The sequence below is a fragment of the Homo sapiens genome, chromosome 12, assembly GCF_000001405.40.
Source record: "Homo sapiens chromosome 12, GRCh38.p14 Primary Assembly".
NCBI lineage: Eukaryota > Metazoa > Chordata > Mammalia > Primates > Hominidae > Homo > Homo sapiens.
Genome location: NC_000012.12, coordinates 7,304,007 through 7,329,979, shown reverse-complemented (window position 1 = coordinate 7,329,979; position 25,973 = coordinate 7,304,007). Strand labels below are relative to the sequence as shown.

At 39.8% G+C, this 25,973-nt stretch overlaps 2 protein-coding genes across 4 annotated transcripts in view, besides 2 other annotated features; one reads left to right on the top strand and one right to left on the bottom strand.

Annotated features, from left to right (window-relative positions):
* The window catches only part of CD163L1 (CD163 molecule like 1), a 125,386-nt gene extending 114,174 nt beyond the window's left edge, over positions 1-11,212 (top strand). Inside the window, exons 21-23 of one of the 3 annotated variants that reach the window (XR_007063068.1) lie at positions 3,048-3,193; positions 3,961-4,054; positions 5,311-11,212. The gene's annotated coding sequence lies outside the window, so the exon portion shown is untranslated. Of the gene's footprint in view, positions 1-3,047; positions 4,880-5,310 lie in introns of all 3 variants that reach the window. The other 2 variants (XR_931282.3, XR_007063067.1) reach the window with 2 other exon arrangements.
* On the bottom strand, positions 1,261-25,908 carry ACSM4 (acyl-CoA synthetase medium chain family member 4). The gene is made up of 13 exons (NM_001080454.2): positions 25,448-25,908; positions 23,237-23,447; positions 19,234-19,441; positions 12,700-12,843; positions 11,798-11,954; positions 9,176-9,255; positions 7,439-7,562; positions 6,666-6,746; positions 6,420-6,521; positions 5,580-5,707; positions 5,382-5,481; positions 2,885-3,004; positions 1,261-1,693 (listed from the first exon to the last, which is right to left on the bottom strand). The coding sequence occupies exons 1-13, from the start codon at positions 25,646-25,648 to the stop codon at positions 1,607-1,609; spliced, it is 1,743 nt and encodes a 580-aa protein (NP_001073923.1). The 5' UTR covers positions 25,649-25,908; the 3' UTR covers positions 1,261-1,606.
* Positions 5,139-6,338: an enhancer, noted in NCBI's record as "BRD4-independent group 4 enhancer chr12:7476238-7477437 (GRCh37/hg19 assembly coordinates)". NCBI's record gives its function as "activates an origin of replication core promoter dependent on BRD2, P300/CBP, MED14 and CDK7 cofactors, and independent of BRD4, by STARR-seq in HCT116 cells {active_cell/tissue: HCT116}" and the evidence as "EXISTENCE:reporter gene assay evidence [ECO:0000049][PMID:35650434]".
* Positions 12,268-13,467: an enhancer, noted in NCBI's record as "MED14-independent group 3 enhancer chr12:7469109-7470308 (GRCh37/hg19 assembly coordinates)". NCBI's record gives its function as "activates an origin of replication core promoter dependent on BRD2, BRD4, P300/CBP and CDK7 cofactors, and independent of MED14, by STARR-seq in HCT116 cells {active_cell/tissue: HCT116}" and the evidence as "EXISTENCE:reporter gene assay evidence [ECO:0000049][PMID:35650434]".
* Positions 25,909-25,973: the final 65 nt, after the last annotated feature.

Below are 25,973 nucleotides of genomic sequence, written 5' to 3'. Positions count from 1 at the left end.
ATAAAATTAGCCATATGCCTACAGAACATACAGCTCCGTGGAACTGAGTTGTTTTCACTTTGTGAAAGCTGCTGCAGAAAGATTTTGATTTGATAGTTTGTTTTTATTAGGCTTTTATATTTATTTGTATTTGGTAAGCCTCGGTTGTTATACAAGCTCTTCTTTCCCAGCTATAAAATCCTGTGTTGGGTTATAACCTGAACTCATTAAAAAATTTGTTTTCAGGTTTATCAACTATTTATTTTTACTGACATTTGAGCATGTTACTTGATAAGTGATGAGATTCCAGGGTAAGAATTGAGTGCTTTCTTTTCCCCCTTTAGGTTTTTCTTTTAAAAAATTATGTCAGTTAAAAAAAACACAAACAAACAAAAAAAACAACTGCAGTCTTGTGGTTTAGAAAATTTGCTTAGCTTTATAGAGGAAAGAATGTTAAGCTTTGTATTTTAATATATGTTTCTCTAAGGTTAAAAATGGTTTTCAAATGTTATTTTTACTTGTATTTTGCTTTTGGTATGGCCAAATATCAAGCTTCTTTTTCATAGTTCCTGATATTTTTAGAAAAATAAAACTAACCTGCACAATGTGCACATGTACCCTAAAACTTAAAGTATAATAATAAAAGAAAAAAAAGAAAAAAAAATTAAATATGGTACTGAAGCAAATAAACCACTAATAGCTGAAAAAAAAAAAAGAAAAAGAAAATAAAAAATAAAAGTAAATTTGTTCCCTAAAGATTGGTATTCTGTACTTTTTCTTTCTTTTGGCCTCTTAGTAAATCTCTTGCTTTATGTGTATATATATACATATACACTTTCAGATGTATATATATGTATATGTATATAGATGTATATATGTGTATATATAGATACATATGTGTATATATACATTCAGATATATATATTTATATACAGATATATACATATGTATATATACAGATACATCAGTATTGCAGAGTTAATACAGATATATCTATATATACATATGTGTATATACACATATGTATATATGTATCTAGATATACAGTATATATACATATATACACATATGTGTATATATACAGATATATATACATATATACAGATGTATACATTCAGATATTTTACAGTTAGTTTGCTTCAAAATGAGGCACAATAATACAGTACTTAATTTCATTAAACTCGCTAATTTTTGAATTATTTATACTCCTTACTTTAATGTCTTGAAGTTTGGTCTCATAAAGATGTTAAGCAGAAGAAATTGTCTTGAACATTTCTCTTAGGATATATGTTTATTTTGAATCAATCAGGCACAAGGTAAATGAAATACAGATTCAATGTGCACTTTCTTGTTCTAAGCAATCATTTTATTCCTGCTATTTTAAACACTACAAATCATCATCATTACCTTTGTCAGTTTGGTCATTATAACAATTTTCATCCATACGTTTTTGAGGCTTTTATTTACTTTTAAACTTTTTAGCTAAGTAAAAACCAAAAAATCAACAGTTGAGTTTTCAAGCAGGAAAGATCTTAAACATTTTAAGAGAGTAGTCGCTGAATTATCGGAACAAATACTAAAAGAAAGCAACCATATTACTGCTTAACCCTTCAGCTTTGTTATCAAACTATCTTCCTCTCCATTCTTGGTCTCTTAAAACGTTGCGTTTGATTTTCCCAGTGATTGTCTTTGGGAGTTCTTGAACAAATTCCACCTAATTGACAGAAAAAAACGTGATGAGACACTTGATTCCATCCTTCCAATTGTCCGTGCGATAGGAAGGAGCTTGCATGGAACTCAGACTGAATTTTAAAGTCGAGATTATCTTAGCCTAAGCTCATTGAATTTCATGGACACCAGAAACGTCTGTTTATGTAGGAAGGGTGATAGTGTAGCTCCATCTTACGGGTTTTTAGTGCAAATTCACTGAAATGCTTTGCCAGAAGAAAGTAATAATCCCTTTACCCCATTGCTTTCCCCTAGTTCAAACTAGTCCTAGGCTTCTACTGTTCCCGAGAAATGGAGATTACAGCTAAATACAAAAAGAACAGTTCTTGTCTTTTCAGAGCTGGATGCTGGAGGTTTTGAGGAAGATTTTTAGGGATAATTTGGAGTATATACAGTTTTCCCTTCTGCCCTGACTTGACCACAAAAATCCTCTTTTTGTTCTCTTCTCTCAAAATAAGACTACTGTATTTTAAAATGCCCTCAGATAGCCTTTCTGAAAGTCAACAGTCACTGATTTAGTGACTTTAGTCAATGATTTAGTGAATTTAATGGAGAAAATGTGAGTAGTTTTTAGGTTTAACTACTTTTTGACTGAAACAGTGCTAAACAGAAATCTCATGCAGAGGATCAGTAATTATCACCCAGTTCCATGGTTAGAAGGAAACTACAGGGCCATCTTCATGTATTTACGTAGTATTGTTCTTAAATCCTTCTTTGAAGAAGGTTTCAGGAAAGATTCCATAGTTTCTTTGGATATCATCTTCTTCTGAACACTAAATGAGGTCACTTGATACTTCAAGGCATGTACTTTGAATTTATAGGGGTATTAGGGATAAGAGTACTGAGATAGGTGAATCAAGCACTGTCCCTAAAAACAAGGCACTTGGCAATTCTTTGCCACTGTGTTTTTCTCATACAGAATGGGACTAGTTAGTCCTAGAAAGACTCTTAGTAGTGATTCAGTATTGCAGAGTTGATTAAAGGTTCTGGTTTATAATTCACTTATACCGTTCTAATATAAAACATTTTAAAGCAAAATTCTTAGGGTTAAACAAATTGAAAAGTGTCTTCTACCTATATAATGAGCTACTATAAAATCAAAATCCAGTAAAATCTAATTCTAGCTTAGACCCTAGTTTGGTAACATCCAAACTTAACTTTTGGGCAAAGCACTTGCCTTTCTTGGATATTTGTAAGGTGCAGTTGATTTTTTCACATGATCCTGAAGTTCAAGAGTTAATTTCTCTGGGTTGTAGGACTTAAAGGGTGCAGCTAAGACAACAAAAGCTTTCACCACCTGCAACAGAAAAGTTAATTTATCTTGCTCATTTGTTTTTCAGACACATCAAGGATTTGCAACAAATGCTGAACACAGGTGCTTACTATTTATTAATAACAGTTTGTGTGATGACTGCAAATGCCAGAGGTTACCTCTGAACAAAGCTTGGATACAATTACAAAGTGAGGTTTTTCAGAATATTTTCAGGTAAGTGGTTTATGAGTGTGAGGAGTGCAGCAGTTCAAGAAAGCTAAGTTCTATTTATAGATACATATATATTTAACATTTCAATCAGACTGATCCTATTTATTACACAGACAGTCCTTGGTTTATGGATGACCACTTACTCCATTAAACCTATACCATTAGAAGCATGTAGCAGGGGAACAAATGGAGTTCCTAGAGAATATGTGGTTTCAAAGCAGTTTGGAGGGTCTCAACGGAGGAAGGACTGTGTATCCTGGGAGATCAAATCTCAGGAAAGGGCTGAGCATGGTGGCTTACACCTATAACCCCAAGACTTTGGGAGGCCAAGGTAGAAGGATAACTTCAGCCCCGGAGTTTGAAACCAGCCTGGTCAACATGGTGAGACCCCATCTCTACAAAGACTTAAAAAGAAAATTAACCAGGGTGCAGTTGTGCACACCTGTAGTACTAGCAACTTGAGAGCCTGAGGCAGGAGGATCGACTGAGCCCAGCAGTTTGAGAGGTTACAGTGAGCTATAACTGCACCACGGCACTCCACCCTGGGTGACAGAGCAAGTCTCCATCTCAAAAAAACAAAACAAAGCCAAAAGCCAAAAACCTCTCAGGAAGGATTGATCTATGTGAGGTCTTTTTTGCCTCATATTGTTTGCTTCTCTTTGAAATGCTGTTTCAAACCCACCAGTTAGACAATTACTGAGGTTAGTAAGCATAATTTATATTATTTATTGTTCATACATTGATTCTAATTGTTGGTTACTTCTGTTCAGCTGAAATCATTTATATTGAGAGAATAAGAACATGGTGGCAGGAAGAAACTATTTTTGAGAATGGAATAGATGGAGAGTAGAGTGAGTACAGGAGGTAAGAGTATGGGATCCACAGTGTCACTACAGAGGCTCACTGGTGTGTGAGAGGGAGGTACAGATGTGGAACGATGCTGACAAATTGTTTTGAAATTTTGTCACTTGTTGTGTCTGTAGAAACTTCCATAAGGAAAAGCAATTATGAAAATAGGGCTTCCTCCTAGAATTAAGGCTATTATTGTCATTGCCAGAGTTCCCTTTCCTTAGATCCTAAATAGGCTCATGAGACTTGTTTGGGAACCTGGCCACAGTTTTGTTTCTTTCTTGCTTTTTCTTTGAGACAGAGTCTGTCTCTGTTGTCCAGGCTGGAGTACAGTGGTGCAATCTTGGCTCACTCCAACCATTGCCTCCCAGGTTCAAGCAGTTCTCCTGCCTCAGCCTCCTAAGTAGCTGAGATTACAGGTGCCCGCCACCATGCCAGGCTAATTTTTGTATTTTTAGTAGAGACAGGGTTTCACCATGTTGGCCAGGCTGGTCTCGAACTCCTGACCTCAAGTGATCCACCCACCTCGGCCTCCCAAAGTGCCGGGATTACAGGCGTGAGCCACCGTGCCCAGCCCACCATTTTCTATTTGTCTTGTTTCTGTGAGAAAAGATATTCTGAATTCCATGACAGTTTTCCATTCAGTGAAATCTGTGGCTTTTGCCTATGCAGTATCTGTTCCTCCTTTTTAGTAACTAATTTTCCTATGGAGTATTACCCTAACTTCTCTCTGGTGGGACTGACACCAACACCTACTTCCAAGGATAGACGTATGATCCAAGTCTGACCGATCAGCATGTACCAGTCTCTGAACCACATTGGTTAGAGATGTGATCTAAGGTAGGCAAATGAAGTCTTGAGAGTTACTTGAAACAACTGAAAACAGAGCTGTATCCTTCCCTGAAGGGGTGGAGGGTTGCTAAGGTGTATACACCTGGAGTTGGTTGCTATCAAGTAGGAAGAATCTGATCAACTGGAGCCATAACAAAGAATAGCAGAGCCAAAAGTGAAGAGGGGCTAAATCTTGCCAACCTCACATGAACCTTTGGATGTGGCTGTACTTAAGTACTTGTCACTTATATGAGCCAAATGCTTTTTTTTTTTTTTTAACTTAAGGCAGTTGGAATTGTGTTTCTGCCACTTGCCATCAAAAGAATTCTAATACCACCCCTTTGGGACACAACTTATTGTAAAGTTGGTTGCCTGATTTATATTTTGGCCAAATGCATGCTTCATAACGAGAATTAATAGATTGACCTCTCTTGGTTCAGCCTTTACAGTGGTCAAATGGACAGAACTTGAAAATATGATGTTGCTTCTTTAATAAATGACATTCATCTACCTCTCCGCGGATTTGATCTGGACTACTGACAACAGCCGATTCAACAACTGCTGGATGCTCAATGAGTGCACTCTCCACTTCAAATGGCCCAATACGGTACCTGAAGAGGAAAAGAAGTTTTTGACCACCACATCCTCCAAGTTAGAGATCTCCCTCCCTGTCGAATTGTTACCTCTTCAGAGTGGCAAATATACAAACCCAGAGGATATAATGACATCATCAGCTCTGCCGACAAACCAGAAATACCCATCACTGTCCATCACTCCTCTGTCTCCAGTGACATAAAAATCTCCTCTTATCGTGGCAGCAGTTTTCTGTGGATTGTCCTGGGAACCAAGGATGACATTTGGGGATTAGTCTGGTCAGAACAGAGATGGGTATGGCACTCATTAAGTGACTAGTACATTACACATCCTACTTATATAGGAAATTTTTTTTTTTTTGAGACAGAGTCTCTCTCTGTTGCCTAGACTGGAGCCTGCAGCCTCGACCTCCTGGGCTCTAGTGATCCTCTCACCTCAGCCTCCTGAGTAGCTGGGACCACAGACATGTGCCACAACACCTGACTAACCGTATTATGTTTTTGTAGAGATGGGTTCTCACTATGTTGCCCAGGCTGGTCTTGAACTCTTGGGCTCAAGCCACCCTCCCACCTCGGCCTCCTAAAGTGCTGAAATTATAGCCGTGAGCCACTGTGCCTGGCTGGAAATTAAATTTTTTTAAAAGATAGTTTGTAATATAAAATACAAAAGGTCATAAAGAGTATAATAAAAAGCCCCTCTTCTACCTCTAGCACCCCCCAACTGCACCCTCATTCCAGCCTGTCCGGTTTTCCTTTCTGAGGATAACCACTGCAACTGGTTTCTTACATTTGGAATTTCATCTTTACAGTACTCTTGGGTGACAGATGATAGTCTCCCCATTTTACAGTTGTGAAAGATTTTGTTGCTTGCCCAAGATTACATAGCAAGACACGGTGGAAATGAAATTTGAACCCAAGTCTGTATTAAGCATGACCAGCACTTTCTATCCTCATACCACATATTTAGAGAAGAAACAGAAGGGCCGTGTAGGTTTGAGTCTGAGGGCAATTTCCCCTTCTTTGCCAGGTGGTAGAACATTGCCATTTTCATCTATAATCTGGAATGAAAGAAATAATTGATGGTCTTAAAATTTTCTTTTCACAAAAATGAAAGCAGCTTATGAATAGTTGTGCAATGAATAGCAGAAAAGGAAAACGTTCTCTCTCCTTTACTGAACCAGTCAGATATTTTCTCAACCTACCTGGACATCATAGGGCAGCATTCCTTTCCCCATTGAACCTGGTTTAATTTCTTGGCCTTTCTGATTGGCACAAATCATTCCCTATTGAGAGGACAAGCTTTGTATAAGTATACAAAAGTTTATATTCTGAAACTATATCATGGCAATGAAAATTAAGATTTGATTTTGACTGATTTTCCTGGTATGCAGGCGCACCTTCTGAAATATATTATTTGAAACCAGTAGTTCTCAAACTTCGGTGTGCAGTAGAATCAAATTTGAAATTCTGGAACATTGTTGAAACACAGATTGATGGGCCTTATCCCAGAGTTTCTGATTCATTAGGTGTGGAATGGGGTCTAAGAATTTGGTATTTCTACCAAATCTACCTAGATGATGTTGATGTTGCTTGGTTTGAGGGCCACACTTTGAAAACCACTCCTTGGACTCCGTTAAATGCACCTTGGACTCAATTTCCCATGGACGCTCTCAGAGGATTATTCCCAGCACAGTGGAAAGATGAGCTGCTCAGTTCTGAACCTCACCCACCCGCTAACGCCTCTGAGATTTATCCTGCATAAGGGGGAGGCAGGAATGATGGAATAATCATCATTCTCCTTCATCAAAACCTAACTGAGCAATCTGCAAGTTTTGGTAACTACTGGCAAGGTGAGGTATCCCGGGAAACTCTATAAAAATTTACAGTGGGATGGGGGCACTTCAGGGGCTCAGTTGAAAAACCTGGGGCAGAAAGGCCCCCACATATACTAAACATAAATGCCCTTTAGATATACCACTTCCGTCTGTCCATAGCCCTCATATAGCTCCAGCCCAGTTTGCACCCTCCACTGCTCCAGCACTTCTGGGTTGAGTGGCTCCCCTCCGGTCAAGCAGTGCCGCAGACTCTTGAATTTATATCTGGAGAGACAGAGTTGCATGGGTCTTTTCAAGAGGAACCTGAGTGCTTTCACTGCAAGACAATTAGGACATTCAAGCAGTAAGCATAGCAGCTAGGAGAGGCAAGTCTTAGCAAAGTTCATTCAACAAATACTTGTTGAACACCTGCTATATTGCCAGACATTGTTCTAGGCATATGGGGGCACATTAGTGATTATAACGAAAATTCCTGACAGCTTTCATTTTAGCAGGTGGAGGAGAACTTAGCTATTAAAGATGTAAAAAGGCAGGAGAAGATGCTATTAATGATACTAAGTGCTTTTGATGAGCCACATGATATAACAGCTAATATTGATTGATCAGTCGCTATGTTGTAAGGGCTTTAGAAGCATTCTTAGAATCTTCTCAACCCCTATTTACACATGAGGACATTGAGGTTCAGAGAGGTTAAAGAACTTGCCGAAAGCCTTCCATGTAATAAAGGACTGAGTTGATACTCATGAAACTCTGTACCAGGCACCTCCCACTTGTCAGGGTGATCTCACCAAGCATGTCACTTACATTAAATTCTCACCACAACCTTATGAGGGGGCTCTTAATCCTCTCTTCTAGATGGAGTTGATGCTTAGCAAGGTTATCTTGAGTGTCCAAGGCCACGTGATTAGTAAGTAGCAGGGCCCTGCCTGTTTGACTTTGGAGCTTAGCTTTTAACCACTAGCCTTACTGGACACAGGTGAGAAAGCCTGGAACAGCCTGCTTCTCATACACTGAGGCCCCAAATGGGCCAGAGGGTGTGGGTAGAATACAAATCATGTGTATTCAAAATAATCATTGAATAGTCCCTGAATTACTCTTGAAATGTGAACAAGATGCTGATGTTTCAAAGGCCGTGACATAGGAGCAAAGGAGTTGACACTGACTAGGAAAAGAGAAGATCCATGTTTGCTTTATTCTGTCTCGCATAGCACTTTCCCTCTTGGGCAACCACACTTTGGTGGCAAAAGAGGATGGACAAGCCTATGCTACTTAATTTGCTCCTCTATTCCTTTCTCTCCTCATGTATTGAGTTTGAATTAAACAAATATACATTGCAACTCTACTGGATGTTCATATGGTTTGGCTAAATTGAATATGACCTTCAAGTCATAAATTTTGTTAGCTTTTCTTCAAAGCAGTATAAATGTGCTTTTCTTTCTTTCTTTTTTGAGTTCTAAATGACAGTGTTTTTAAAAGAATAGAACTAGAGGACAATTTTTTTTTGAGTGGGAGTTCTGGGACTACAGAGGTCTGGTTGTCCCTGGAAAAATGTCCAGTTGTCCTAGAGGATATTCCAGTGGTTCTTAGACTAGGGAACAGTTTTGCCCCCCAGAAGACATTCGGCAGTGTCTAGGGACATTTTTGATTTTCACAAATGGGGAGGAGGAGGTGCTACTGGCGTCTAATAGAGTCTTGAGATGCTGCTCAACATTCTGTAATGCATACGACCGTCCTCCGACGATAGAATTATTCGGTTCAAAATGTCAGTGGTGGTAAGACTGAGAAAGCCTGAGCTATCCTATGCTGAAAAAGAGAGATCTGTGATCCTGGATGGTAGCTATTGTTTGTGGTTCAAATGGAGATTTCTGCCCAAGTACCTCTTAAGGTCTTTTTGCACGAGCATCCGGTACACAGTGGGAGGACTGCACAGGGTCGTGATGGGATAAGTAGTAAGTGTCTGGATGATGGAGAAAGACACAGATGTCAGAAGTGGTCATTCAAAGGCCATGACTAGAGCTGATATCTACACCCTGTTATTTTCTTCCATTAATATGTGCCCATCCCGTGGTCACTACTAGGAATAAGAAAACAATATTTATTACTTGTCACTAGTGACTGTATATCTGTTGGGAATTTCCAATTACTGAAAAGAATGTATATATATTAATATTACAGTAACAGACATACACAATCTAATTCAACAAGTGAATTGCTTAATTTGAGAACAACCCAAAGTATGAACTGGTTTATTCTTCCTCAGGGCTACAACTTACCTCTTATAGTGTAATCTTGTAACCTCCTGCCAATATATTCATGGATAGTATTGACTATGGATGTATAAGCTAACCTACTGGGACCTTTCCAGCTCCATTCCTATAAAATACATTAGTCTTTTTCAGTAAGTTGAATAAATGTAGAAATAAGCATTTTTTTTGGCCTTTTCTTAATTTTTAAAAATTTGCTGAGTTCATTATGTCTCTGGTTTCTTAAATAAGATATGGCCTAGGCATCTTAAATCTAGAGAAATACTAATGTTTTAGAGCTCCTCCTTCTGGAGAAGTTCCACTATGTCCCTTAATGTATTGACAATTTGTATTAAACTTAAGTATTTGGGAGAAGGCTCTCAAAATGTATGTCTGGGCTGCCTGGATTGTCACAGATAAAGTATGATGTTTGATCGGTAAGTAAGCATTTCTACCATGTGTATCTGCTCCGCAGAGTCTAATTATTTTTAGAAAGTGTAATGTATACACCTAAAAATAGCATAAATCTATAAAGGTTTTTATAGCACTTAAAATACACACATGATTTTTGTAAAATAAAAGTATTCTTATTTTACAAATGTAGGTTTTGAAACTGCAAAGTTAACTTACCAACTTTAGGGCACTTTGTAAACCTGATGTAGAGATCTCAGTTCTTAGGTTAGTGTACATTTATGTTAAGTAAGACCTTTTAACCAGGGATCCCCAACCCAAAGGACAGACTGGTTTCTGTTTGTGGCCTATTAGGAACTGGGCCACACAGCAGGAGGTGAGTGGCGGGGCAAGGTGAGCGAAGCTTCATCTGTATTTTTTTCTTTTTTTTTTTTTTTTGAGACGGAGTCTTGCTCTGTCACCCAGGCTGGAGTGCAGTAGTGTGATCTCGGCTCACTGCAACCTCTGCCTCCCAGATTCAAGCAATTCTCTGCCTCAGCCTCCCAAGTAGCTGGGATTACAGGCACCCACCACCATGCCTGGCTAATTATTTGTATTTTTAGTAGAGACGAGGTTTCACCATCTTGGCCAGGCTGGTCTTGAACTCCTGACCTCGTGATCCACCTGCTTCAGCCTCCCAAAGTGCTGGGATTATGCCTGCTTTATCTGTATTTATAGCCACTCCCCATTGCCCGCATTACCACCTGAGCTCCGCCTCCTGTCAGGTCAATGGTGGCATTAGATTCTCATAGGAGCCTGAACCCTATTGTGAACTGTGCATGTGAGGGATCTAGGTTGTGTGCTCCTTAAGAGAATCTAATGCCTGATGATCTGTCACTATCTCCCATCACCCCCAGATGGGACTGTCTAGTTGCAGGAAAACAATCTCAGGGCTTCCACTGATTCTACATTATGGTGACTTGTATAATTATTTCGTTATACATTATAATTTAATAATAATAGAAATAAAGTACACAATAAATGTAATGTACTTGAATCATCCTGAAATTATCTCCCCGCTCCCCCTAGTCCATGGGAAAATTGTCTTCCACGAATCCAGTCCCTGGTACCAAAAAGGTTGCAGACTGCTGCCTTAAACCATCTTGTCAGACCATTTAGCAAAATAACAGGTGAAGAGCTTTTATTCACACACAGGTATGGTTTGTATGTAATAATATGTATTTTGTTAAACTTAATAAATTTGCCATGGTTGAAAAATAATTGGCCTGAATCACATTTTTCTAAAGTCTAAAGAAATTGGAGTTATCTGATATCTCAATCTAGCTGTCCCTGGTTGAGAAGACAGGGCATGCATGCCCGATTTCCAGAAGAGTATCGGGTTCTGAGAATTAACAAAGTGAGAAGTATAGGCTGGGGGAGAATAAGAGGAGCTGCTCTGGGAGAAAGGCACCCCCACCTTTAATGTCCACTCCACACAAGAGTTCTGGTTTATCAGCTATTATCTTTATTTCATTGAATTAGAAATGAAGTATTTGTTTAGACTTCAGACTCCTAATCTGTTATTTAGAACCAGTTTCTTAAGTAGCTACAGATTTAGCAACACTAGCAAATCCTGAGCTATTTGAAGCAGAAGTCTGGATTTCCTGCCTCAGAGTGTTGCAGTTGTTCCCCCTCCATTCTGTCAAATACGTTTCAAAAGCTGAGGCCCTTGAGACTTTGCTTTGTATAAAGAAATGATTTCCAAAAGCCCAAGAAGCCTTGTATTCTAAGGAATAATTTCTTTGTGATTTTATGGGAAACAAGGAAGAACTCTAAAGATCTATCTAGCTGGAGGACATGACTTACGTCTAGGAAGGTGTCAGTGTCAAACTGTGCCATTCGATGCACAAAAACACAGGCTCCACACAGCCAGGAAGAAAACACACTGCCAATGGCGGCCTTGACCCAGCCCGTGTCAGACATATTCCATATGATATCTGAGGACTTCAAGTCCAGCCAATACCTAAATGATATGAAAAAGCAACAAAACAGACCAAAAATAAACAAACAAAAATTACAAACTGGTATCTTTCAGGGGTGACTTTGCCCCTATATCTTAAGGGCTACAGAGAAGGGTCAAAAGAAGCCCCAGGCAAGGTGATAGATTCAACTTCTACTCTTCTTAAGGGCATTTTCAGAATCCCAGGCGGTCTGAGAGTACAGTGGGAGGCTGGGTGTGGCATGATTTTTTGAGTTTGTCCATTGATGCAACAAATACTTGTTAAGCCGAAATGTGCTAGGCGTTGTTCTACAGCAGTGAGCAAGGTAGACCAAATCTCTGCTCTTATTTTAGGGTGACAGATAGTGAATAAATATACAATAAAGTGAGTTAAGTACATTAATAAATGTAATTATTTCAAGTAGTATAAATGCCATGAGGAAAATAAAATAGGATAATGTGACAATGGTCGGATAGCCTCTCTTTTAGGAAGGCCTTTCTGGGTAGGCCTTCCTGGCAATGAGAAAAGGGAGCCAGACATGCTGTTAAGGGATTAATTAAGGTTGATTCTTAAGCTTTTGCTTAATCAGCTGGTTAGATGCTGCCATTTACTGAGCTAGGTTGGGCGGGGCCAGCAAGAGTTCTGTTTTGTAGCTATTATAATTGCCAATATCTTATAGCAATTCAAGGAGAAGTATCAGTTAGTTGGATACGCATATTCGCAGCTTTGGGGGAGTTCACCAAAAACAAACTGAATTTTCTTCCCTACCTTCCGCAGAGGGTGAACCCAATGCCGAGGCTGCTCTGAGAGTGCTGGGCCATTTTAGGAAAGCCTGTGGTCCCACTGGTGAAATAAATGGTCATTGGTTCTTGACTTCCTGTTTCCACACAGCTGTGCTCTTCAGAGGCGAATCTGCAAAATATGGACCCCAAGATGGCGGTGGAAGATGGCAGACCAGTTTGACTCTGATATTTCCTCTGCTCAACTACTTATGCCCTCTTGCTACCAGAAGATAGTTAACAGAACTGAACCTAATCCAAAGCTTTCCTGAGAGGAATTCCTCAAGAAATCTTAGCGGGACTTTGAAGGTCAGTGCTAAGATTTAACAGCCCAGTTCTTCTTTTTTTAAGCTTCATCTCCCTATAGGGTAAAGAAATAGCCAAGATAACTTTCAATATTAATAACAAAAGACATGCATTTTATGTATTGTAACATTTTTTTTCCAAGTGTGTTTTAAGAAAAAGTCTGTGAGTTTTTGAAAATCAGCATTGAATCTTCATACATTGCTATTAATGTTTCAGGAGTTTTTATTATTTAAAGGAAGATCGTTTGGCATTTGATTCAAACTTTTAAATAATTTTTGTTCAGTATCTTCAATATCTGCGGCAGACGCAGCTGGTTGCTTACCAAATAGCTGTCTCCTTCTTCCTTGCACTCATAGAACTGATTTTGTTCAAGTATCAGGCAATCAAGTGCTTCAGGGGAGACTGTCCCTGTATAGCTGCTGGGGCAAATCTTGATTAATCTAAGCCAGTCACAGTCATTCCTTTGGTTTAAGATTGGGCACATGATGCAGTTATGGACAACGAGATGTAAGGCTTTAATGGAATATATTTTCTTGTTCTAAAAAGAGTCATGAGGAAGAGATGCAGCCTTCTTCCCCTGCCCATCCTGTTTTATGGCCTTTAAGTATTGTTGTGCAAGTACAGGATGTCTGGGGCTACCCTGGCCATCTTGGATGTATACTGAGGGTGGCATGATAGGAAGATGAATGAATCTGGGTCCATGTTAATTTCATTGACCCAATGAATTCACTGAACTGATGACAATCTCTGTGTAAGATTGTCTGCAAAGATAGCTCCATGATTCCTTCCATCCCTGTACAAAAATTCTTAGATATTGTATTAGTTATCCATCACTGAGTAACAAATCATCCTTGTATGCCATTCCCTCATTATAGGGCAGACTTATGTCCTCTCTCTTTGAATCTGGGGTGATCTCATGACTTGTTTTCATTAATACACTGTGGCACAAGTTCTGGGACTTCTCAGCCTAGGCCTCAAGAAACTTCATAGTTTTCATTTTCCCTGCGGGGTAACTTAGCCACCATATAAAGATGTTTAGACTGTCCTACTGGAGGGAGAGGCTATGTGCAGGAAAACTGAGGTGCTTCAGCTGGCAGCCAGCCTGACTTAAAGGTGAACCCACCTTGGATACTTGAGCCCCAGTCAGGCTGATGTGGAGCAGAGACTGCTGCCTCTGCTGAGCCCTGTGCGAATTTCTGACCCATGGACTCATGAGCAAATAAAATAACTACTGTTTACACCACTAAGTGCTGGGATGGTTTGTTACTCAATGATGAATAACCGGTACAGTATCTGAGAATTTTTGAGACTGGTGTATCATATTTTTATTTTTATTTATTTTTTTATTTTTTGCAATGGAGTCTCACTCTGTCGCCCAGGCTGGAGTGCAGTGTCATGATCACGCCTCCCTACAACCTCTACCTCCCAGATTCAAGCAATTCTCCTGCCTCAGCCTCCCAAGTAGCTGAGACTACAGACAATGCACCACGACACCCGGCTAATTTTTATATTTTTAGTACAGATGGGGTGCTACCATGTTGGCGAGGCTGGTCTCGACCTCCTGATCTCAGGTGATCCACCCGCCTCAGCCTCTCAAAGTGCTGGGATTACAGGCGTAAGCCACCACACCTGGCTGGTGTATCATATTTTTAATTTCTCTGGTTGAAGGGAACAGGGTTAAGGATGCTGTTTTAATTAATCTTGATGGTGAATGAGTGACATTGTCATTGAAATGGTAAAAACAGTGAGGATTTTTTTTTTTTTTTTTGAGACGGAGTTTTACTCTGCCATGCAAGCTGGAGTGCAGTGGCATAATCTCGGCTCACTGCAACCTCCACCTCCCAGGTTCAAGCAATCCTCCCACCTCAGCCTCCCTAGTAGCTGAGACTACAGGCATGTGCCCCCATGCCCAGCTAATTTTTGTATTTTTAGTAGAGATGAGGTTTCACCATGTCAGCCAGACTGGTCTTGAACTCCTGATCTTATGTGATCTGCCTGCCTTGGGATCCCAAAGTACTGGGATTACAGGCATGAGCCACCATCTCCAGCCAACAGTGAGGATTATTTAAAAATAGTTTCATAAAATATTAACATGGTTTTCTTGGTAACTTGCTTCCTCCCCTTAAAATAGAAAAAGATCATTCATTCAACTATATTGATTTTCTTTTCAGTGTATGTATACAGTGAAGTTGATATGTGTTGGGCTACAGAGGGGTATTTCTTCACAGAATCTAATACCTGTGGGGAGACCTCTTATGTTTAAACATTTCTCAATCCAGTATGGAAACCTTTTGATAGAAGGCATCTATCTCTCTATCTATCATCTATCTATCTGTCTATCTATCTATCTATCTATCATCTATCTACCTACCTATCTTTCATCTATCTATTCATCCATCCACCTATCTACCTATCTACCTACCTACCTACTTATCAATCTTTCATCTGTCCATCTATCTGTCTATCTAAAAGAAAAAGCATCACAATCTGTGAGTGACAGGAAGATTTTCAAGCAGTGATTCCATTATCTGACTTCCTTTCCTTGAATACCTGAGTTCCGAGTTATGCCTTTCTAGATTTCAGAGCTAATTATATACTAATAACTTCTTGCTTTGTATCTTTGCCTCTTGTCCCTGAGACTCATGTACCTACTACCTGCTAGACATTTGAATGTTCACAGACCCTTCAATCTTGTATGTCCAACTCTAAACTTATTATGTTAACCTCATCTACTGGCTCTTTCTCCAACTGATGGTACCCACCTACCAATCACCTAAGTCAAAAGCAGCTCAGCCTTGACTCCTTCTTCCTTCATCTTCTACATCCAATACTCTCCAAGTCCTGCTAGTTGTTTAGTTTGTTTTCTTTCCTCCGTCCTATTCATCAGAGCTCAGATTTAGTTTTTTATTATCTCTGCCCTAGATGAGGCTCAAAAATGGCCTCTCTGATTCCAGTTTGTTCTTCTCAAACTAATCCTCTACATATTTGCCAGATAAATCTATTTAAAATCCAAACCTGACCTTGGCACTTCCCTTCTTAAAACCCATCAATGGCTTCCCTTGCTTACAGGGTCAATTTTAAGATTTAGCATGGCATGTGAGATCTCCCATACCCTGGCCTCTGTTTGCTCTTCCAGGCTTCACTCTGACTCCATAATTTTATTCTCTAGCTAAACCAAACTGCCTGTAGTCCATTCCCTGCACACCTTAGGGTATTTTTTTTCCTTCCTTATCTTTGGTCATGCTGTTCCCGTGCTTGGAACACCATCTTGAACCCCTCATGATCAGAATCCAGAGTCCTGGACCCCACAGGACACGGTCCTTTGTACTAGGACAGAAAAAGAGAAATATCAGTCTGGCTTATAATTTTGACCTTTTCCATTATCCTATTATGAATATTCTGGAAAGTGTTAATGGACTTCTATACTTGGGAGGCAGAAGGAGGGCAAGAAGCCTTAAAATGAACTTATTGAATAAAAGATCAACTCTAACAATGTAAAATTAGCCCACATTATTGCTGTGTGTAGTCTTCCGAAAAACTAGCCAACTGTTGGCAATGAGACGGCTATCCCTTCCCTAGTTTTTAGAGAAACAGTCCATGGCCTTTTTGGAGTTATGACACTCCAAAGTCATTTGTTTAAATAAGGATTTTTTCCATCTTGAAAACCACTCCCAAAGTGTGCAAATTTCAATTTGAAATCCATATGAATTTAAAGTCCTTTATCCGTTGTAAATTTTGTGGTATCTTTACAGTTTCTTGGGGACTCAATAGATTATTGCAAAGTTGTTTAGGACAGGAGTCTCTGAAGTGGAAGTGCTTGCTGCTCAGGGAGTGTGCAAGGCAACTAGGGTAGAGAAGAAAAAAGAAGAATTGCAAATTACATGTTTTTTGTTTTTTAGACAGGGTCTCTGTCACTCAGGCTAGAGTGCAGTGGCACAATTGTATCGTTTTACTTATCCTCTAAAATTTTTATTTTTGGTATTTGTATAATGCACAAAAGTACATGTATATAATTTACAAATAAATGCATGTATTGGGGGTATGTTAAAAAGTATGTTACTAGTGGAGATGCATATTCAAATAATATAAATACCATTAACTTAGGAATCACTACACTATTGAATGACTTTGTTAACTTGAAAATAATAATGATAGCAGTTATAATTACTAGATATTTATGGAGTAATTACTCTGTGCCAGGCATTAAGCTAAGAATTGTACATGTTTTATCACATTTGATACTTCTGCAACCCCATGAGGTAGATACTATCATCATCTCCATCTTATGGATAAGATAAAGAGTTTCAGCAATGTTACCTCACTTATCCAAGGTTACACAGCTTATAAAAGACACAAGCAGTATTCACTGGTGTGGCCCTTGGGATTGGCCAGTAGTATTTGGTTTATATTAATTAGTAGGATAAAATTTCATTCTCACAAGTAAAACTACCCTATTATTCAGCAGGGTTTGCATGTCTTCTCTTTCTATAAACTTCTCTGGAAGAATTTTTTTTTTAAACATAAGCTATTCAACACCTCTTTGAAAGATAATGCCATTAATTAACACTTCACTCATTTTTTCACAGCTTGAAAAACACTTTCTCACATATTCATTTAATTTACCCTCAAAACAACACTTGAGATAAGTACAGTATAATTATTCCCATTTTACTTATGAGGAAAACTGCAGTTGTGATCTCTTTTGTTCATTCATTTATAAATATTAAGCACCATTTATGTGTTAGGAACTGGAGACAGGAAGATCAACCAAACAAAGTCTCTGCTTTCTTAGAACTTATGGTTTAGGGCAGGGGTTGCCAAACTTTTTCTGTAAAGGGGCAGATAGCAAGTAGCTTAGGCTTTGTGGGCCATACAGTTTCTGTTGTAACTACTCCACTCTGCTGTTGTTACATAGACAACATGTGAAAAATGAGCATGGATGCATTCCAATAAAACTTTATTTACAAAAACAGAGCTGAGCATAGTGGCTCATGCCTGTAATCCCAGCACTTTGGGAGGCTGAGGTTGGCGGATCACTTTGAGGTCAGGAGTTCGAGACCAGTCTAACCAACATGGTGTAACTCCCTTTCTACTAAAAATACAAAAATGAGCCAGGGGTGGTGGCAGGTGCCTGTAATCCCAGCTACTCAGGAGGCTCAGGTGGGAGGATCACTTTAACCCGGAGGTGGAGGTTGCAGTGAGCTGAGATCACACCACTGTACTCTAGCCTGGGTGACAAAGTGAGACCCTGTCTCAGAAAAAAAACAACAACAACAACAACAAAAAAGGTGGCAGGCCAGATTTGGCCTGTGGGCCTGAATTTGCCAAACCCTACTCTAGAGGAGAAAAAGGACTCTACATAAGGGAATGGATGAATGGGCATGATAATTCAGGTGGTGACGAGTGATATGAAGAAAACAGGAGGACGTTGTAATAGAGTGGCTTGTAGTTCTATTCTAGGTAGTGTGGTCAAGGAAAACTTCTTAGGATAAAATACTGAGTCAAAATATGACAAGAAGGAGCCACTCGTGAAAAGGAATAAGAAGAGCACTCCAGGCAGAAGAAATAACAGGAGCGGAGGTAGGGCATGTTTGAGGAAGAAAAGGGAGAGTGGTGGGAGATGTGGTCCAGGTTTAAGCAAGGGCCAGACCACACAGGATACTCATCATAGGCCACAGTAGAGAGCAGGAGAGGGGAGGCAGAGCTACGTGCCTTTCTTCTGCCCTTAAATTCATTTATTAGGTAATACTTTTCTTTTTCTTTTCTTTTATTTTATTTATTTATTTATTTATTTTTTTGAGACAAAGTTTCACTCTGCCACCTAGACTGGAGTGCAGTGGTATAAACTCGGCTCACTGCAACTTCTGCCTCCCAAGTTCAAGCAATTCTCCTGCCTCAGCCTCCTGAGTAATTAGGATTACAGGCAGGCATCACCACGCCCAGCTAATTTTTGTATTTTTAGTAGAGACGGGGTTTCACTACGTTGGCCAGGCTGGTCTCAAACTCCTGACCTCAAGTGATCCACCCACCTCAGCCTCCCAAAGTGCTGGGATTACAGGTGTGAGCCAGCGCACCCAGCTATTAGGTAATTCTTTTCTGAGTAAGAGCCCAGATCAACTGACAGTGTTCCTGAGTCCTTGGAGGCAAAGAGATTCCAAGATATAGCTATAATTTGTGTTGTTGCCAGCAGTGTAGATTGGCTGGGAAAAATACTCACTGAAATAACTCCTGGAAGCTGAGCCACCCATTCCAGCTTTGTGGAGACACCAGGAGTTTTGTCTTAAGGTCAGGACACTCCAATACAATGGACTCCACCGCTGGGGCCACCTCCTCACTGGCCACAATGCACTTGGCCTTGGATGCTCGCAGCCGGTAGAGGATGTCTTTTGCTGTCAGCTGGATTGTTCCCGGCATGAAGATGATCCCTGGGAAGGACAGAGGGCCCTGCACTGAACAGAACTGCTGTCCATTGTGGAAGACTTGGGCTTTGTGCCTCGGTGAGGAGAAGCATCACAATCCATTCTTCAGCTACCTCAGCTACCTCTGCCTTGATGCCCAAGGATATTGCACAGGACCCTGATCCCTGAGAGATCCCTTGGAGCACTAGCTTCAGAGTTTGACAGACCATGGGTCTAATCCTGCCCTTGCAATTTACAAGCTTTATGACCTTGATCTCTCTGTGCCTTTCTTTCCTTATCTGTAAAATGGGAATAACAACAGTAAGTGTCTGAGCAGACATTATAATGGTGGGCCATTACTATGTAACATTTTAATGTCACGTTTGAATCATTATTGTGTACTACTTAAATAGCACTTTACAGCTTATAACACATTTCATGAGCACTGTCTCATTCAATTCTCTAAACCAATGGTCTCCTGCCAGGCGCGGTGGCTTGGGCCTGTAATCCCAGCACTTTGGGAGGCGAGGCCAGTAGATTACTTAATCAAGCCCAGGAGTTCGAGACCACCCCGAGCAACATGGCGAAACCCTGTCTGTACTAAAAATACAAAAATTAGCCAGGTGTGGTGGCGCACGCCTATAGTCCCAGCTACTCAGGAGGCCTAGGCAGGAGAATCACTTGAACCCTGGAGATGGAAGCTGCAGTGAGCCAAGATCATACCACTGTATTCTAGCCTTGGTGACAGAGTGAGACTCTGTCTCAAACAAACAAACAAGAGAAAAAAACCAGTGGCCTCCAAAGTGAGTTTTTCAACAATCCATTGGGACTAAGAAATGAAAATAGAAATTCGAAAAATTATTGGTTGGGCATGGTGGCTCACACCTGTAATCCCAGTGCATTCGGTGGCCAAGGCAGGAGGGTCACTTGAGCCCAGGAGTTTGAGACCAGCCTGGGCAACATAGTGAGATTCCGTCCCTGTTTAATTTTTAAAATAATATTAAAAATTTTAAAGAACTAGAAATTATTGAGAAACTACAATTCTTTTAATGCTTTTATCTCATTTTTGTATGTTTCATAATATGCATACTGTATTAGTGCAGTAGAAGCACATAAGTAGCTATACCCAGATGGGAAGATGTGTATCCTAAATATTTTTATTGATAGATTATACAGTCAAAAATGCCTAGAGACTACTGTTTTAAGCAACCCTGGTAGGTCCATGTGGTTGTGCCCATTGACGGAATGTGAGATTTGGTCAGAGCTGGTGAGTGGCAGAGCCAGCCCTCTTCTCTATGGATTCCAGTGGTCTGGCATCATCAAGGTTTGCCTAGACTACTTTGGCAATGCTTAGTTTATCTCACCTCCTCATTTCATCCTAAACACTGGCTGGAGATGTCTGATTTTAAAGTACCAGTTCATTCTGGGAAGAACATACATGGCCGAATTAGATTAAAGAGAGAAGTTTGTACTTTCTAAAGTGAATTATTGGGAACAAGAAGTGAAGTGTATATAAAGTGATACAGATAATCACTACTGTTTATTGAGCACTTATTACGTGCCTGGTATCTCACTTAAAATTAATCCCAGTATATAAATAATAACTTGCCCAAGGGTCACAAAGTCAATAAGTGGCAAAGGATAGAAAAGATTCAAAGATACATTTCCCACACTTCCAAGACCTGTGCTATAAGCCAAACTACTCATTTCTTGGTGAGTTCCCTGAAGTTTGCTAAATACAAAAATGTGGAGTTGAATTGCTAGGAAGGAGATTTTATTTTATGAATATATTTTAAAAGCTTTTAAATATCATCCCTTCTTGAGAAAGTGAATAAATGCATAAGGATAAGGAAGTTGATTAAGAAAACATCTTAGAGTATTCGCTCAATATAAAAATTTAAGATTATTTATTTTACAAACCACTTGTTCTTAATGACTTACAAATAATTAGCTCCCTTGGTAGATTGGTGATATGAATGTACTCAATGGGTAGACCTCTAAATTCAGGGTTAGGAGAAGTTTTCTTCTAGTGGATTTCAGATAGCATATATCTCAGGCTTTACTGCATACACTTTACAGCAAGAAAACAAAATATTTTGCTATGTGATATAGTACAAACAATTTCAATATTCTCATTGAAGATTTAATAATTCTGAGTTAGAAAATATAATCTCACCTCCTTGCTTTACATTTAATTTAGTGTTTTATGTTAGCCTTTCAGCTTGTCCAGTTTTCACTATTATTTTATACATTTCATAACATGTTAAGCAATATTACATATTTTTTATAACAAATCACCTTTAATCTACTCTCAATCCACAACTGGTTTAACATTTGCAAGTTGTTTTTAGTGAATGCAAAAAGAATTTTATATAAACGAATTTTATATAATGCTGTTTTTATTCAATATTGGCAGAAAGATCATCTTCAACAGCATTATGAAATCCTTGTAATTATCATTTTAGTGGTATTTCAAGTTGAATTACCATAATTTTAATCACTTATACACACACACCTCAACTAAGCTTAGTCTCACCTATTATAATTCAGTCATTTCTATTTAGTTGTTTCCAAATTTCTATTACTATTAATAACATTGCAACAAACATCTTCGTGATTTTTACCATATTCTATCCTTTGATATTATTTATTCTTAATTGACTTATAAACATTTATGCCATGTTTTAGAGCAGGAATTGGAAAACTTTTCAATAAAGGCCCAGATAGCAAATATTTTAGGCTTTGCAGGCCATAGTATCTCCATCTCAATGAGGATTTCTGCTGTTGTGAAACAAAGGGAGCCATAGACGGTGTATAAATAAATGAGCATGGCTGTATTCCATTAAAATTACTTATGTAAATAGATGCCCAACCAACAGACCATGGCTTGCTAACTCCTGTCCTAGAGTGGAACAAAATCCTGTTGGAATTTTTATTTGGGGTAAATTATAAATTACTACTTGGGGAGAAAGTGTGTCATTGAATATACTAGTTAGTCTGAAATAAAGGTAGAGATTTTTCAACTGGGATGTGCCAATCATATTCTTATAAGTCCTGATGTATAAATACTTTTTCTTCTTGTTGTATCTTTTTTTTGTTAGGGAGAATCCAAATATATTCAGAGAAGTTATCTGGATCATCTGGATGAACATGTCCTAGATAATCTAGCACTGCAAAGAGATGTTGGTACCCAAATTTGCTTTTATAGAGCTTTGTTTTTAAATCCCAATTGCATAGCTTTCTAGCTGTGACTGAATAGAATAGCTTTCTAATTGTGATTTTTGGCAAGCTTTTGTTTGTTTGTTTGTTTTTGAGACAGAGTCCTGCACTGTTGCCCAGGCTGGAGTGCAATGGCAAGATCTCAGCTCACTGAAACCTCCACCTCCCGGGTTCACGCGATTCTCCTGCCTCAGCCTCCCGAGTAGCTGGGATTACAGGCACACACCACCACAACTGGGTAATTTTTTGTGTTTTTAGTAGAGACGGGGTTTCAGTATGTTGGCCAGACTGGTCTGGAACTCCTGACTTCGTGATCCACCTGCTTCGTTCTCCCAAAGTACTGGGCTTACAGGCGTGAGCCACCACGCCCGGCAAGCTTCTTAACCTGAGCCTTGGTTTCCTCTTCTGCAAAATGGTTATCACACTAATACCTCCCTCTTGGTGTTATTGTTATTATTATATCATGATTGCCTTAACTCTTCTTTTTTTTTTTTTTTTTGTCTTCTGTATGCATACTTTTAATCAGAGCTAACAATTCAGAAAACCATTGAGTTTCAGTCTCTCTGTGTTTGTGTGATTTAGAATGCTAATATTGGCACTGACCTGTTCGTATGCAAGCTACATTGACCAGCCACCACTCAGGGATTCTGGGCAGAATCACGGCCAAACGGTCTCCTCTCTGCAGGCCACAGGGCTTGGTGAGCACGTTGGCAGCTTTTCGGGACAAGGAGCCCAGTTCTCTGAAGCTCCATTTTACCTCATCCCCTTTGCCATTCACCCACCACAGGGCTGGGTTAGCTGGTCTCTCCCCTGTCTGACCAGGGACACATGGAAAAGAGAGGGGTAGGTTTACATGACTGATTACTCTTACATGCGGCATCTGCTGTTTTCCCCCTTTGGCACTGGTTCTGGTGCATTCTGCTAACAGCGCCCTGAGTTCGTCTTTGAGGGAACTGCCCCTCTCCTATTGAACACAGCCTTGAAAAGAGAATCCCTCAGGTTGCTTTTACCCTTCCCCGAGCAGTAGGTGGGCATTTGACCAAAGTTGGGCCAATCAGACCTTCTCTCTCTGGACTTTTTGGTTTTCTGAGAGAAATCAAAAGATAGAAAATGGTTGGTACAAAACTTGTCTATGGGTTATTCGTGCTTACGCATGCTCAGAGAGCTGTCCTGATTCCTGTCCTCATTGAGATGGACTCTCCAGCTTCCAGCCCAATTTTGTGAGCTCTCCCATATTCCTTGAATAAATTTCTTTCTTGCTTAAATTAGATTCTTTCCCATCCAAATAACCTGAATGGATCTGCTAAGTTTGACTGGGAAGCAGACATCTCTTTGTACCCTAAGGCTGAGGTGTGGTTTTCACAAGTCACAAGGAGCAGGGTCGAGGGAGGCATCAATTTATTGACTTCTAGAGGTAACTTCTTCCCCATCATTCTATAAAGTGAGTCATCTGTACTGCAAAACCTCTTTGCCTTATGTATTACCTGGAAAAAAATTACTCTCCCTTCTTTCCCCTATCTGGAATGCTTCTTTTATCTTCTCTGGCTGGCAAATACTTTAAAGCCCTGTTGACATGTCAGTTCGTCTGTGAGCTTTTCTTAGACTTCTCTTTGTTTCTCCACTAACTTCTCTGTGTTCCTTCATCGTTGTGCTCATACTCCAGATGACTCCAATTTATTATATGACAGATGTGTCTCTTCCCTGTGGATGTAACCTCTGTAAAGATCAGGGACTGGGTTTATGTTCTGTTGGACCTGTGTGGCCTTGGATAAGTAGCTTAGCTTCTATGAGGTCAAGTTCCTCATCTGCAAACCTCCCAGGTTGTTATGGGGATTTGGTGAAATAATATAGGTCAGTATTTCTCAATCTTTAGTCATTTAAGTCTCATTGTTTCTGTCAGCTCTGCCTGCACCTGCACTATTCTTCTTTATTTTGTATACTTCGCTACATGGACTCACTTTTTACTTTTTACGTGTATACATTTACTTAAGAAGGAATATATATTTAATCAGCACCATTATTGGACAATTATTACCACTTGCCAAAAAATAGGTTATTGAAAAATAAATATGCTGAAAACAAAACTATGCCATTAAATTTTATCTAGAGATGATTAGCTTCTACCTGTGGTCTTTATTCAAGAGAGTGTTTAGCAAATGATAGGTGCTAAAGACACAATGGCTTTCAAGGAAGGCTTTCCCCCTGTATTTAACAGGAAGAATTGATTCAATGTTATTTAATACCTTGTCTGTCTAGTACCTAACATCATGTTCCCATCCATGGTCCTGCAGTGCATTTTGATAAGCACTGCTTGGTTAAGTGTTTAGCTCAGTGCCTGGCATGGGGTGAGGATCAGTACACAGAGACCTCATCCTGAGGCTGCACTGTAAACATTGCATAAGGGCCGCTTGCTTTATTCTTGTCAACCTCCAATTCTCTCCTCATTACTCCAATGATAACTGTATTCATAAAATCAAAACTCAATTTGCTACTTTTTCGATAAGCCTGTGACCAACTTGAAAACAAAGCACTGTTGCATGGGGCTTGGAGAAAAGAGAAGGAAAAGAGGCAGAACTCTGTGAGGAACGACCATGGGGATGGGAGATAGAGAAGGCTCCAGAGCCGCCCAGCCATTTGTGGCTGAGGATCTAAGATCTTCCCTGGGGAGAGGGGAGGGCAATTGGAAAACAAACAAAGGAAACCAAGAGGGTGAGAGAGTGCATTGGAATTAAGTGGTAGACCACAGAACAAGGAAATGGAAGACTGAGAGATAAGGGGACACCAAGCATCTACTGGAAGCCCATCGTCATATACCTTCTCCTTTTGGGACCACTGGTCCAGCACATCTGCAGCAAAGTTAAAGTTTTTAGGCAATGGCCTGTTACAGCGATTTATGGCTTCAAAGTCAGCAAGAGTCAGAGGCGTCCAAAGCTGGTGATCTTTGTGTAAGCGCCGGCCAGGTGGCTTGGTGAGCCAGATGAATCTAAATGTCTGGTAGCGGAAAAAAATCTTCATGGTTCCCAAAGGACTTTGTCTACTGCTATGGACACAGAAGTACTACAGCCTGTAGGGAGAGATGGATAGAGAGTATCAGTTTCTTGATGCTCTGTGGTGAGACTGGGAGGTGGATTTGTGGCTGTGTGTCCCTGGCAAGTTGGGGAACACCTGAAAAACACCTCATCCTTCCTCAGAGCTGCTGCCTTAGCCACTGACTGGTCTCCCTGCCACTGGACCCTTCCTCTTCATTCTGTCTGTGACCAGATGAGTCTAAAAAAACCCCTTAACTACAGAATTGTCAGACTCCTGTCTTCTGTTCCTGTCTTCTCCCCAACCAAACAAC